The following is a 12973-nucleotide window of genomic DNA, read 5'->3' as shown; positions in this document are numbered from 1 at the left end:
GTCTAGACAATGCTCCTCCCTGTTCTGGTTGCCAACACATGCTGCTGCTCCCTTACTCCCTCCTATGAATAGTGCAAGGGGGTGAGAGTTCTGTTCTTGCTTCGTCTTTGGATTTTCCAGGGTTGGGAGGGGGCAAGTTTATAAAAAGGATGGGGAGATGGTGGAGGTAGAGCTTCAAGCTCCCAGCCTGACTTTCAGCCATAGTCCTGGCGAACCAAAGCCAGGAAGGGGTTGAGGAAAGCTGGAGCACTCATCTGGGCTCTGCTGAGCATGGGTGTGAGGTGGGGCTACCCTTGACTGGATCCTGGGGTCTCAGGCTGCAGCACAGTTGACATCACAGAATCCACTGTGAGGTCACTGCTGGGCTGTGGGACACAAAAATTCAGCCAGCAAGCCACTTTCAGATGTATGATTCTTTATTTAAACGGCAGTAAAGAACGCTGGAATAGGCTTTCCAGGGACACTCCCATGAGCTCTGGGCTCCTTTGCAGCTTCCAGCTCTGGGTCTTATTTAATGGGCTTCAAAGGTCACTGTCTCCATGATGTCCGGTGTCATAGAACCAACCGTCTCCAGCCCCTGGCCACCCTCTGCTGTCTCGGCGATGGCCACGTTGGTGCTCCTCTCCGCCATCTTAGCCATGACGTTCACATCTCTGCCATGTGGTGTGCCCACTACTTTTGTAGTAAGGTTGGCTCTGACGTTCCTCAGGAAAGAGCTGACCCTGCCAAGTCCCTTGCTGGAACCGGAACTGGTGGTCCATAAGCTCCTCCCAGATTTGTGAGAGGTCCTGGACTCCTTTGAGATGGGCGTGTGGCTGACACCTTTATGCGAGTCCCTGTGCCTGCTGCTCCCCGGGTTGCCACAGCCTTTCTCCTTTTTGTCATCTCTATTGGCTCTGTGGCTGAATGAGGACCTGCTGGAGGACTTTTGGGCAATCTTGTCTCCCCTTGTTTTGTGGCGGCTTTCACCTGTCCTGCGGCGATGGGAACTCCTTCCGAGAGCCCTGTCCTTTTCCCTTCTTTCCCTCCCCTCCTTGCAGCCTTCAGCGCTGGCCTGGGTTCGCTCCCTTCCATGCTGTCCACTCAGGCTGCTCTTGCTCTGCCGGGTGGAGACGGGAGGTCCCGCTGCTGCATCCATGTCTGCTTCTGCAGCTGTCCTGCTGGTCAGTACTACTCCTGCAATGGCCAGGCTCACACTGCCCTCTCGGGAAAGGCTCATGGATGCGCTGGAAACATGCTCTGAGGACTTGCCTGCAGCCCCTGCCACAGCCACCTTCGTGCTGTTTGGAGCCATGCTGGCAGTGCCTGCAAGGGCCATGTTGCCTTTGTTTCCTCCTGCACCGATGGTGGCCGCCCCAGCTATGGCTGCGCTCACCTGTCCAGGGGCAGAATTGGCTGCTGCCACACTCAAGGCACCTGCTACGGTGCCTGTTGCTGCCCCTGCAGCTGCCCCTGCTGCTGCTGCCTCTTTAATCCCCCCTGTTGCTGGCTCCTCAGCAAGTTCTGTAGATGTTTTGGGGATGGATGCATTGAGCACATTAGTGGGTTTGTTAAAGTCATTTTGGAGTCCCTCCCCTCCAGCATAAGCAGCAGAGGTGGCCCCACACACCTCAGAGACCATGTGGAGGCTTTGGATGCTGACCTGGTCCTGATCCCCCTTTCCTTGAAGGTTCACGGCTCCCAGGCTCCTCCTGTCTTCCTGAAACACAGGCATCCACATCATGTCTTCAGCTGGAATGCCACAGGTACTGCTGTTACTCTCCATGGGTGGCCGCAAGAGGTAAATTAGTTTTTCCCAATAGGCAAAGAGGTCATCCCGTGTGTCAAGAGCGGGACACAATTGCAGATAGCAAGATCTGCCAGTGGCGAACTTCAGGCGCAGCTGTTGTTTCTCATGGTCTTGAACAGAGATCCGTACAAACCTCAGGGGCAGAAGCCTGGTGAGCTCTAAGTTCTTTGCTGCCTTGCGTTTTTTTCTCTTGGTGGCCTGGCCATGTCCAGCATACTCTTCGCAGCCGGTGGCCGGTCGTGCCAGTAGCATGACATCTGGGAGTGGGAGGATGGGGCTGGTACGTGCAATGCCCATGGTCACCATACGGACACGGTTGTGCACATCAATCACTTCTCCCCTTTTGGTGATCTGGATAAAGTCGCTCTCAAATATCGGTGCATACTTGAATATATCGTACTCCCCCTTGTACAGTTGTCGCTGCAGTTTCCCCATGGTGGTGTTGAACATGCTCATGCTGGAGCCACTCTGGGCCGTATAATACGGCAGCAGAAAATCAGCATTCATGGTTGTCTTTCAGCACAACGGCAGCACTGGTGAGGCAGGTCTCTGGGTCTTCCTTGGCCTCGGTGGCAGATGAGGGACCAGTGGTGCTCCTGGGTCACAAAGATGTCTCTGCAGCTGGTCTCTCAATCCCACCCCACCCCACAGGCCCCCACTGTTGCCTCAGAGCCTCCCAGAGGCCGGGGTGGGGGTGGGAGCACGGATGATTGCTGTGGGGGGTGCTGTAGGGTGCCTGGACTCCAGACTCTTCCAAGACGTAGAGATGCAGGGTGGGCTCCAGAGAGGTTTTCTTCTGGACCTAACCCCCTGACCTCCACCTCTGATTTTTTTAATTACAGTTTGTAGTCTCTCTCCCTGAGAGAGACTACAAACTGTAGTCCTAGTGACAGGAAGTGACGACCCTCTCTGCCTAAACCCCCTGTGCAGCCATATTTATCTTCTGCTTCCCTTTGTGACCTGTTGCTGTCACATACCCCTTTGTTCTCATCCCCCAGGCCAGGGCCACAATGCCCTCACTAATACTCCATTGCCCCCATAGAGGACAGCCCCACCGTGCCAGGTACTCAAGTGGGTGCCAAAATAAAAATTTTTCAAATGAGAAAATGTGTGGTTGCTTCCCCTTCCTCACCCCAAATTCAAAAGATTCAGCAACTAGGCAGAGTCTACAGGAACGCAAGATGATGGGATAAATTTGAACCATTTGAGTACACGGTTTAAATTTTTTTTTAACCTAGAATTCGCAGTCTTGGTTCTTAGCCCACTCTTCCATAAAATCTCAGTTCATGCTGACAATGGAAATCTTTAGTAATAACCTCAACCTTTAATAATAACATGAGAGATTGCTTCTTCTAGGCGCCATACTATGTATCAAACTCCATTCCAGTTTGATACTATTGCAACGCTTCTCATCTTACAGGTAAAAAAAACCTGAAGTTGTGAAACATACCTGCATTTGTAGAACTCGTAGGCAGTGGAGGTATTATTTGAATACAGGTCTTGCTGCTTTTAAAATCTTCCTTCTGAACCACTACAGAACTTACAAAAAAAGCTTGGGCAAGCCAAATAAGTTGCATAATTAATTCTGTGTGTGTGTGTGTGTGTGTGTGTGTGTATGCATGCATGTTATGGAGAATCCAGGACAACCACTTCAGAAAGGGGCTGGGCTGAGTGGGGGATTAAATTATCCAAGGGGCCACCTCTATTTCTCCTCCATCATGTTTATACCAACATCCTGTGTCAGGGAGCCCAAATATTTTCTCAAGGCCCCCAGTGTTTGCCCCGTGCCTCTTCTTACCCCCTACCCTGTGAAATGCCGGGAGAAGAGGGTAGGATGGAAAGTGTGAGCTTACATTCCAGGAGCCTATCAAAGGCCCTCCTCTACTAACCTCTCTACTATGCAGAAGTACTTTGGAAGCCATTTACATCCATGGGGAACAGGTGCTACTATACCTCCTGCCTTGCCATGCCCACAGAGCGAGCCCAGGAATAAGTAATTTCCAAGCTGTTACCTGGAAGTCCTGAAAAGGAGCACCTGCTTCCAACTCTCTTTTCTCCCAGCTTGACATCAGGCCTGAAATCCTACCTTAGAGATTCAGTTCTTGAAGATAAAGGCTAGCTGTTTCTTAACATACACACACCTGTCTATCAACTGATGAATGGATAAACAAAAAGTATAGTATCCATACAACAGAATACTATTCAGCCATAAAGAGAAATAAGGTACTATTACATAATACGCTAGGCTGACACTTGAAAACATTATGCTAAGTGAAAGAAGCCAGCCGTATTGTGCGAAAGGCCACATATTGTATGATGCTATTTACATAAAATATCCAGCGCAGGCAAGTCCATAGAAACAGAAGACAGATTAGTGGTTGCCAGAGACTGGAAGGAAGGGGAATGAAGAGTGACTCCTTAATGGGTACAGGATTTCCTTTGGGGACAGTGAAAAAGTTCTGGAACTAGATAGTAATGGTTACACTGCATTGTGAATGTACTTAATGGCACTGAATTGTACACTTCAAAATAGTTACAATGGCAAATTTTTTGTATATCTTACCACGCACACACACACAAATGTATATACTCTTGTTTGAAATCATTGCTGTTGAAAACAAGCATAGGCTTCAGCTTTGGAAAGATCCACTGTGAGACCTCGAGCAAGTTACTGAGCTCTCCACTCCCTCATCTGTAAAATGGGGGTAGCAGTTGTTGTGAGGATTAAATGGGATAATACATGTGAAGTGTTTAGTGTATTGTCCTACGCAATAAATGTTAGCTTCTGTTAGCATTAGTCCTCAACAGTCCTTTTAACCTCAGTGTAAATTCCTCCCTGAAAGCAGTGTTTGATGAGACTGTGTTAAAATCTTCTGGAGTTAGAGCCACCATGAGAACACAGGATGCTCAGTGGGCAAATGGGACCTCCTTTCAGGCAGATTCTAATTGGAAACGCTGTTCACGCCACAAAGAAACAGTACATGAACCCAACCAGAGGTTACGGGACAGGGAAGAGAGGAGAAAGCTTGATATGGGTTGGAGTGTTGAGGGTTTATTCAAAGCCCATGGGGAGAAATTAGGATACAGATGGAAAATAGTATTTTAGTTAACAGAAAGTGGAAAGATTCCATTCCAGAACTCCTGTCCTGGGCCAGAACCCTTTAAAAGCTCTTGACTCTGAAACAGGTGTCAGGCCAGCTCTCAGGGAAAGCCAAAGGGGCAGGTGGAAGGCAAGAGAGAGGAGGGAGGGTGGCTTTCCACACCCTGGCAGTGTGACATCACCACTACCAACAGGAGACAGCTCAGTGCAGACACTGCCAAACCGGGTGCTTGATATTGGTGGTGGCCCCATCTAAGTTTATTCTCTCAGATCCCCCCACCTTCCCTTTCCTCTAAATGTGAAACAAAAGAAACTAAATGCCTTGATGGTAAATGCATAGTCATCATCCTTTTTAAAATTAAAGTATCAAAACATAAACTTGGCTACATAAAACAATTTTTAATGCATTTGTGATAGACCTTCATTTACACTTACCATACACATCAAGTTTTCTTGCCATAGCCACCATCCGCCCCCAACTTCCTTCCTCTCTAATCCATTGTTGTTCCTGGCAGCTTACAAATTGTCTTGCGTTTCATAATGGCTGGTGGCTGGTGCCTCTACCCATAACTAGAAGGTAAATGCAAGGGATGTTTTCCCCTCCACCAAGAAAAGGAACATAAATTATCCCCTGAAAGAAGTGCTGAATGGTATTAACATCAGATGGCTCTTGATGGATTAGGAAAGACCCCTGATGTGCAATTCAGAGAGTAAAATGAAGACACCTGTGTCTTAAGTGATCATTTAAAGGAAACATACATGAGGTCAAAGAAGTAGGCACAGAATTCATGTGTACGAATCTGACATTTAACGAAGACATTCTTCTCTGAAGAATGGCACCAGCGGCGAGTGGCCAGTTTTTATGTCTAGCCTGTGAATGTTATAGAGAAGCACAAAAAGCAAGGGGGCCTGGCTCTCTTGCAGGCCAAAGGAATCATACGCCCTGGAAATTCCAGGAAATTCAGTGGAATGTCTTTCTTTGAATTATCACACCCATGCTGTCTAAAATGGTTCTTTCTTCCTCCGGTACCCCTTCCCATTCTTTTCTGATATGTATTTGCAACAATGAGACACACGTTTAGACATGAAACAGATGTAACTCAAGTGAGTAACTCTCTGAGACGAGTTCTGTGGCAGAATGTTAGGGGTCAAAGGTTCAAGCTGAACAACAGGTGTATGTTTTAGGTGTTTGTACATTCAGAGAAAATAATTAAGGTATCTAGCAATTCAGTTGTACATCAAAATTCTAAACACCAAACTGTTGATCTAAAGGATATATTTGGTGCCATGTTTCAGGGTTTGTCAATGAAAAATTGAGCATCAGGTGCCCAAGACTGAGGAACAGGACTGAAAGCCAACTATCCCATCTAGTGATGCCCCAAAGAGCAAAGGATGACATCTGGAGAAGTTTAAAGCTAGGCACCCCCCATAATGGGGAGGGAAAGGCAGGGAATCGCTAGGTCTCAGCAACCGACAGATTTAAATGAACAGAAACCAGCACAACACATGTTTACCATGTCTTGGTTCCAATATTTATTATTCTGACAGGTTAGGAATACTAGGATAAATAAGTAATATTTTCTCTTACAGAAAATTGTAATGATACCATTGAGTACAATTAAACACTCTGAGAATTTCACAGAAACATCAGAATTTTAATAGACAGTAGCCAGCGTCCTTGTGGCCAGTGTGAGTGACTTCTCACAGCTGCAAACACCCTGGGCCAGATTTCTTAAAACAGCTACATGACAAAAACAATGCTATTGACATCCAATAATGCTAAAGCCTGGGTACCACCCAGGCTCCACTGACTGTGGTTTCCAAACATCTCTCCACTGACTGTGGTTTTCAACCACAAGGAAAGGAAAATGGAATATTCTTTGGCTCTTCCAGCCTAGACACAACTCCTGACCTAAGACATTGAGTGGAGAGTCCTAACCCTTTGGAAGTTGAACTTTCTGCTTTCTTCCTGTGACTTTGGAACTGAGTTTGCAACAGAGGACCTGCCATCATACTGCCCATGGATTTTGTGTTAACGCTGGGAGAATTCTGTCCTCCTCTTGCTGACAAGCTCTTCTGGCCACCTGAATATCTTGAGATACTGCACGTGGTGACAGCCCCGCCCCCCAAAACTCTTAGAAACCAGATCTGAGAAAAAGCATATAAAAGTCACATCAGTGTTGTGTGACACAAACATCGGAAGAGTACATTGCCTAGTTTTCTTGCACACACAATTTCTGGACATAACAGCATATTTGCTAGAAAGCACAACCCTGGCCGTTGCACAACTTCACTAAATGCTGTTCTCACTCCACATCCCCTACGAGTGACAATGGTAGCCACGGTGAAGGAGATGGCCCCATCCCTCCCACCCGAGGTACAGACACTGCTGCCTGAATCCTAACGGTGGGCATCCTGGTTTTTTGTAGAATCCAGATGAAAGGCGGGCAGGACACCAGCTGGGGGCCATCTGGAACATAAGAATGGCCAGTGTGTTAAGGCCTAAATCCTGGAGTTGAGGCAAAGATGCACTTGCCCTGGTCCAAGACCCACTCTGGGGCAGAATGGGAAGGGCCTGCTGAATCACTGCAGGCCCTCCCGCCTTGATGGTTCTCTGCTGCTGGGATTCTAGAGGTACACAGGAAGACAGCTCTCCAATGGCTTCAGGGTTTTGGGTATAAAATGAGGATTCAATGAGGACTCCCCAGTCGCCCCCATACCACGACTGCTTAGCTCTGCAATGTTCCTTCTTTTATCTGTTGGATAAAGAGGTTTCTCTCATCTTCTGGAGTCCTCCCATTCTGAGCCCGGACAATACACGTGGGCCGATGAAGGTTGAGCATGTATATCAAATGCTGCTTCTCGTTCTTGAGCTCCTCAATCTGAGCCTTCAGTTCAGCATTCACACTTTCCAGCTTCTCCGACTCCTGGGGGACAAGCAACAGAGGCATCAAGAAAGGAGCCAAGGGCCAGTGAGGAGGGGGTGGCCTGGGCTGCTGCCTGGATGCAGGGGTGTACCTGGGACACACCGGGGCTCATCAAGCTGCGAGAGGAAGATGGGAGATGGGAGAGCAGCACTGGGTTTAGGAAAATGCAGACCCTCTTCTTCAGAGAAACCCTGGTGATGCCACAGAGGCGGCCTGTGGCTCTGCTAATACTGAAGCTGCAGTTCAGATACCTCATTTGCATGAGTCAACAGCCCATATGCAGGTCTTCTGGACCCAAAAGGGCCTTGGGAGCTGGGGAGAAATCCAGACTTATGGTGGCTTAGTCGATTCTGAGTCACAGATCTCAATGAGAAGCTCATCTCCCCAGAAAAAATGTATATAGCAACACACAAAATTCCCTAATTTTCACTGATCCCCTGAAGCAATCAACAGAACTTTTGGGGATCTGTGGGACTTGGGCTAAGACTCTGTCATGGCCTGTCCACATTTGGAGGAGGGACACAGCCACTGGAAAGACTGCTGAGCACCACCGGCCACCCTGCTTGCCCACAAAAGCTATTTCCCCTAGTGTCTCTCAGGCGGGCCGGCTGAACGCAGCCAGGGGCTCAGCTTACTGGCTAAGCCAGGGAGAAGGGCTCTAGAGTTAGGAACCAGACAAGAATGCAAAGCAAGTGTAACCACTGCTTGTGGATTAAGGAAATAACTTGTTTGAAGAGATTAATTAAAGGCTTTTCATAGTGAGCCAAATGAGAGCTGGCAGCTTCCTTTTCTCAGGAAAACAGTCAAGTGAAGCCTCTTTAACTGGGCTGGCATGTCCTGCAGCCTGGAAGCTGATGGACATGTATGAACCGGCCGAGGCTGCTGGGAGTCAGGCATCAGACGAATTCACACACCTGTTTTTATACATCCACCGTCACATCCATTGTGTTAACTGCTTTGCCACCTCCTCATTCTGCAACTGGCATTTCTGCTACCAGCTACAAGGCCCTTCTTGGGAAACTATAACCAAGTAGGGGGTTTTCTAACTCTTCTTCTGATAGCCACATGAAGCTGGTGAAGACAGGCGTGAGCGAGAGGAAGGGTAAGGCTAGAAGGCACTCACTTTCTGCAGGCACTCCGTCTTCTCCTTCTTCTTGTTTCGGCACTTTGCAGCTGCAATCTTATTTCTTTCTCGTCGCCTCTTTTTCCTTTCATCTTCTTCAGGGGCTACCTGTAAAATCCAAAAGAAACACATTTAAAGGGCAGTAAGAAATGCCACCTACCTCAAATACACTGCCTTTTACTGCCAGCAAAAGCTGGCAGACAAGGGCAATGCTAGCGCTAAAAGACCCCGAAATACTAAAGCTCTAGACTTTTGTGTGAAAACCCCTACACACACACACACACACACGCACACACACACACGTGAGTGAACAACAAAAATCAAAGTTAAAATTATACCGGCAATATATTAGTAAATTAAAAGTTAGCCAATTTTAAAAATGCATTTGGATTTTGAGATGAGGATAATATGCAAATTGATAACTATTGGTATTAACTATAATCATTTAAAGCCGAAACAGATTCTGTCTGGTAAACATCTCCTTTCTTTGAGAACCAGGAATGATCTCAGGATCATTACCTAGCCACCCACTCCCGGCCTCTTCTTCAATTCAAGACCCAAGGGCAACCCCATTCACCTCTGACTTCACCTGGAGCATCAGAGCACCAGCTTCCCAAATTTGGGAGAAGCCCATGATGCTCCTGTAGAAAAGGCACCTAAGCCCATTCCCAACCAAAGCGGCATTAATCGGCCCATGCTGGGGTGCCACCTGCAAGTGGTGAACTAGGACAGTCTTTTAGGTCAGTCCCACTACTCCTTGCCCAAAGGCTGCAATCATGCCAGTTGAGTAAGCCTGAAACACTTCCACTTGCCACCATGAGGAAAAGGCCAATAAAATGGTGGAACCTCAGCTCTGACATCCTTAAGCCACTATGGCATCGCCAGAAGCCACCTCCCAGACTTCTCACCATGTTTATTATTCCAGGAGTCTTACCCAAGGTTGCCAAGCGTGGAACAGTGCAAGTGTGTCAGACAGAAGTGAACCTGGAGCAACACCTGGTCCCAAGGCTGTGAACATTGCTACAGGGAAGGGTGGGGCAGGCTGCCTGGTCCTTGCTCTACTGTCTGGGTGCTTGGGTCCTAGTAGTGATAAAAACAGGGACCACCACGCTCCAAGCTTCTTCAGAACAACTGGACACAGAAGGTGGCCTCATCCTGACTCATGGCTTTAAGTGCCATCTATATGCCGATAATTTCCAACTCTATTATCTCTAGCCCAGACTGTCCTCTGAACTCCAGACTCACATATCCAACTGCCTGCTTGACATCTCCACAGGGGTCTGCAGAATAGGACAGACCTCCTGCTCTTGCCACCACCCTAACCCCTATAATCCCAAATCTCAGCAGCAAATGGACGCTCCATTCTTACAGCTATGCTGGCCAGAAAACTCAGTCACCCTTGAGTCTTCCCTTTCTCTTACACCCCACATCCAATCTATCAGCAAATCAGCTTTACCTTCAAGTCAGATCCAAAGCCAACCACTTCTCAGCACCTGCACTGCTCCCTCCTGCTGCAGGCCCCCTGACTCACGTGGATTCCTGCCACGGCCTCCTTTCTGTGCACTCAGCTTCTGTCTTACCCCTACTGCCCATTCTCAACATGACAGCCAGGGTGATCATTTAAAAATATAAATCAAGGCTGGGCGTGGTGGCTCACACCTGTAATCCCAGCACTTTGGGAGGCCGAGGCGGGCGGATTACCTGAGGTCAGGAGTTCGAGACCAGCCTGGCCAACATGGAGAAACCCCGTCTCTACTAAAAAAATTCAAAAATTAGCCAGACGTGTGGCGGGCACCTGTAATCCCAGCTATTTGGAAGACTGAGGCATGAGAATCCCTTGAACCTGGGAGGCAGAGGTTGCAGTGAGCCAAGATCATGCCACTGCACTCCAGTCTGGGTGACAGAACAAGACTCTGTCTCAAAAAAAAAAGTGTGTGTGTGTATCTGTGTGTGTGTGTGTGTGTTGAATCTTGTTGCTTCTCTGCTCAAAAGCCTTCTGTGGTTTCCCACCTCACTTTGAGCCCAGGGCTGCATCTATACAATAATAATCTGTAAGACCCAATATGACCAGCCCCTATTTATCTCCCACCCCTATACTCTGCCCCACTGCACAGCCCACCAGGCACCAATACTTCCACCTCAGTGCCCTTAATTTCTTTTACCAGATACCCACGTGGCTTCTTCCCTCTCCTCTTTCCTTCTTCCTTTCCTTTTGACCTCTGCTCAAAAGTCACTATCAGTGAATCCTTACCTGACTTCCTAATTTAAAACAGCAACCCCGGCTGGGTGCAATGGCTCATCCCTGTGATCCCAGTGTTTTGGGAGGCTGAAGCAGGAGGATCGCTTGAGCCCAGGAGACTGAGGCTACAATGAGCCGTGATCACCCCACTGCACCCCAGCCTGGGTGATGGAGCAACACTGTCTCTAAAAGCAAAATGAGTCTTGCTCCATCACCCAGGCTGGAGTGCAGTGAGGTGATCACGGCTCATTGCAGCCTCAACCTCCTGGGCTCAAGCGGTCCTCCCACCTCAGCCTCGCAAGTAGATGAGACTATAGGCCATGTACCACCTTGCCCAGCTAATACTGTCATAGAGATTGGGTTTCATTGTGTTGCCCAGGCTGGTCTCAAACTCCTGGACTCAAGCGATAATCCCATCTTGGCCTCTCAAAGTGCTGGGATTATAAGCGTGGGCCACCATGCCTGGCCTGAAAAGTTTTTAAACCCAGCAACCCCATCCCTACCCGTTCTCTCTGCCCCGCTCCCTGCTTTTTTCTCCTTTGCACTCATCTCTTAACGTGTACTTACGTATGTTATGTACTTCTGTCTCCTCCCAGGAGAAGGTAAGCTCCCTGAGGGCAGTGGTTTTGTTTGTTTCACTCTCAACAACAGCCCCCTGCCTAGAACATGCCCAACACACAGTGGCTGCGAGCGAAACATGTGCCGAAAGAATGAATACCTGTGATAGAACCCACCTCGGCTTTTGTGATGGACACCCCGAGGGGTCTGTCGCTGACAGTGACTGATTCCAGCGCAGAGGACATCCGGTGGCAGAGGTGCTTGTTCTGGATGGCAAACCTCAGCTCTTCCTTGACAAAGGGCGTCAGGTTAGCAAAATCCTCAAACACCAGTGACCCAGGAGGGGACAGGCAGGGGACGATGGCAGAAGCACTCACTTCCGAGGCAGAGACCTGGCCTGGGTGTTGAAGCATCATTTTGCTGAAAGACACATTGAAACCCAAACTGTTTCAGGGGCTCTGGGGCATGGGATCAAGTCCCCCTCCCCCACCAGACCTCCAACACCAGAGCCCCACCCTCAGAGAAAAGTCCCATAAGCCCTTGGGTTTCTGTTTTGTTTTCATTTCATGCCATCCTCATCTTAAGTAAAGCAGGTTCTTAAAATACACATAGCTCAGTGACATGAACAAAATGCCTATTTGAAATTTATAAGGGATGATGTTTCAGGCTACTCTGAATTCACAAGATCTATGAGTTTTGGCTGGTGTGCCTATGTGCAAATGTGGCCACAAACAGTCCTGAAAGAGGAAGAACATTTTTTAAAAATCAGTGAGGCCATTTTAAAAATCATGAGTAATCTCATTTTCAGCTTCTTTTTCTTTCTCTCTCTCTCTCTTTTTTTTTTTTTGTATATTACTCAAAATAAAGTTTCTTTCACTTAAAAAAAAAAGCCTCTTTTTCAAAGAGGCTTGACGTCAAGCTGAAACTATCAGTGAGTGGAAGTAAAAGCAAAAAGTGGGGAATCCTTGAATTTAGCAAATACATCTCTGAAGCTTCTCCCCCGAAGTTGGGCCCAAGCAATGGGAATGAGAAAGGTAACTGTAGCCAGGTGCGTTTCTTCACCCCAGTCTTTGGCAGGGGATGGGGAGGTGGATTCTTAAGGTTAAGGTTGGCAAAGCAAAAGGTCTTAAAGAAAAGTGAGGCACTGTATTGTGGGGGAGTTGTTCAGGCCTGTGGTATAGGGATAGACTTAGGCTGGGTGTGGGGGCAGGGAACCCTGGGGCTGGCTCTGGCACTA

General features: G+C 48.2%; 2 protein-coding genes across 10 annotated transcripts in view, besides 2 other annotated features; both read right to left on the bottom strand.

Annotated features, from left to right (window-relative positions):
- Positions 399-2700, bottom strand: GARIN4 (golgi associated RAB2 interactor family member 4). Its single transcript, NM_153606.4, has one exon. It carries the CDS (start codon positions 2294-2296, stop codon positions 512-514), a length of 1785 nt encoding a protein of 594 aa, NP_705834.2. The 5' UTR covers positions 2297-2700; the 3' UTR covers positions 399-511.
- Positions 769-1269: an enhancer, noted in NCBI's record as "H3K4me1 hESC enhancer chr1:212799247-212799747 (GRCh37/hg19 assembly coordinates)". NCBI's record gives its function as "activates a minimal SCP1, AML or CMV promoter by ChIP-STARR-seq in naive H9 embryonic stem cells {active_cell/tissue: H9 hESC(naive)}" and the evidence as "EXISTENCE:reporter gene assay evidence [ECO:0000049][PMID:30033119]".
- Positions 5253-5547: a silencer, noted in NCBI's record as "tiled region #14805; HepG2 Repressive non-DNase unmatched - State 23:Low". NCBI's record gives its function as "represses a minimal TATA promoter and a strong SV40 promoter by Sharpr-MPRA in HepG2 cells {active_cell/tissue: HepG2}" and the evidence as "EXISTENCE:reporter gene assay evidence [ECO:0000049][PMID:27701403]".
- ATF3 (activating transcription factor 3) overlaps positions 6397-12973 on the bottom strand; it is a 55371-nt gene continuing 48794 nt past the window's right edge. For 4 of the 9 annotated variants that reach the window (NM_001030287.4, XM_011509579.2, XM_005273146.2 and 1 more), the window contains exons 2-4: positions 11913-12156; positions 8940-9047; positions 6399-7816 (exon numbers count right to left, since the gene is read on the bottom strand). In NM_001030287.4, the coding sequence (NP_001025458.1) occupies positions 7619-7816; positions 8940-9047; positions 11913-12152 (546 nt within the window). In that variant the 5' untranslated portion in view covers positions 12153-12156 and the 3' untranslated portion in view covers positions 6399-7618. Of the gene's footprint in view, positions 8203-8939; positions 9048-11912; positions 12157-12973 lie in introns of those variants that run through there. The other 5 variants (NM_001206486.2, NM_001206484.3, NM_001040619.3 and 2 more) reach the window with 5 other exon arrangements.

This window comes from Homo sapiens, chromosome 1, assembly GCF_000001405.40.
Source record: "Homo sapiens chromosome 1, GRCh38.p14 Primary Assembly".
Classification (NCBI taxonomy): domain Eukaryota; kingdom Metazoa; phylum Chordata; class Mammalia; order Primates; family Hominidae; genus Homo; species Homo sapiens.
The sequence above is the reverse complement of the archived record's forward strand: the minus strand, read 5'-3'. Positions and strand labels throughout refer to the sequence as shown.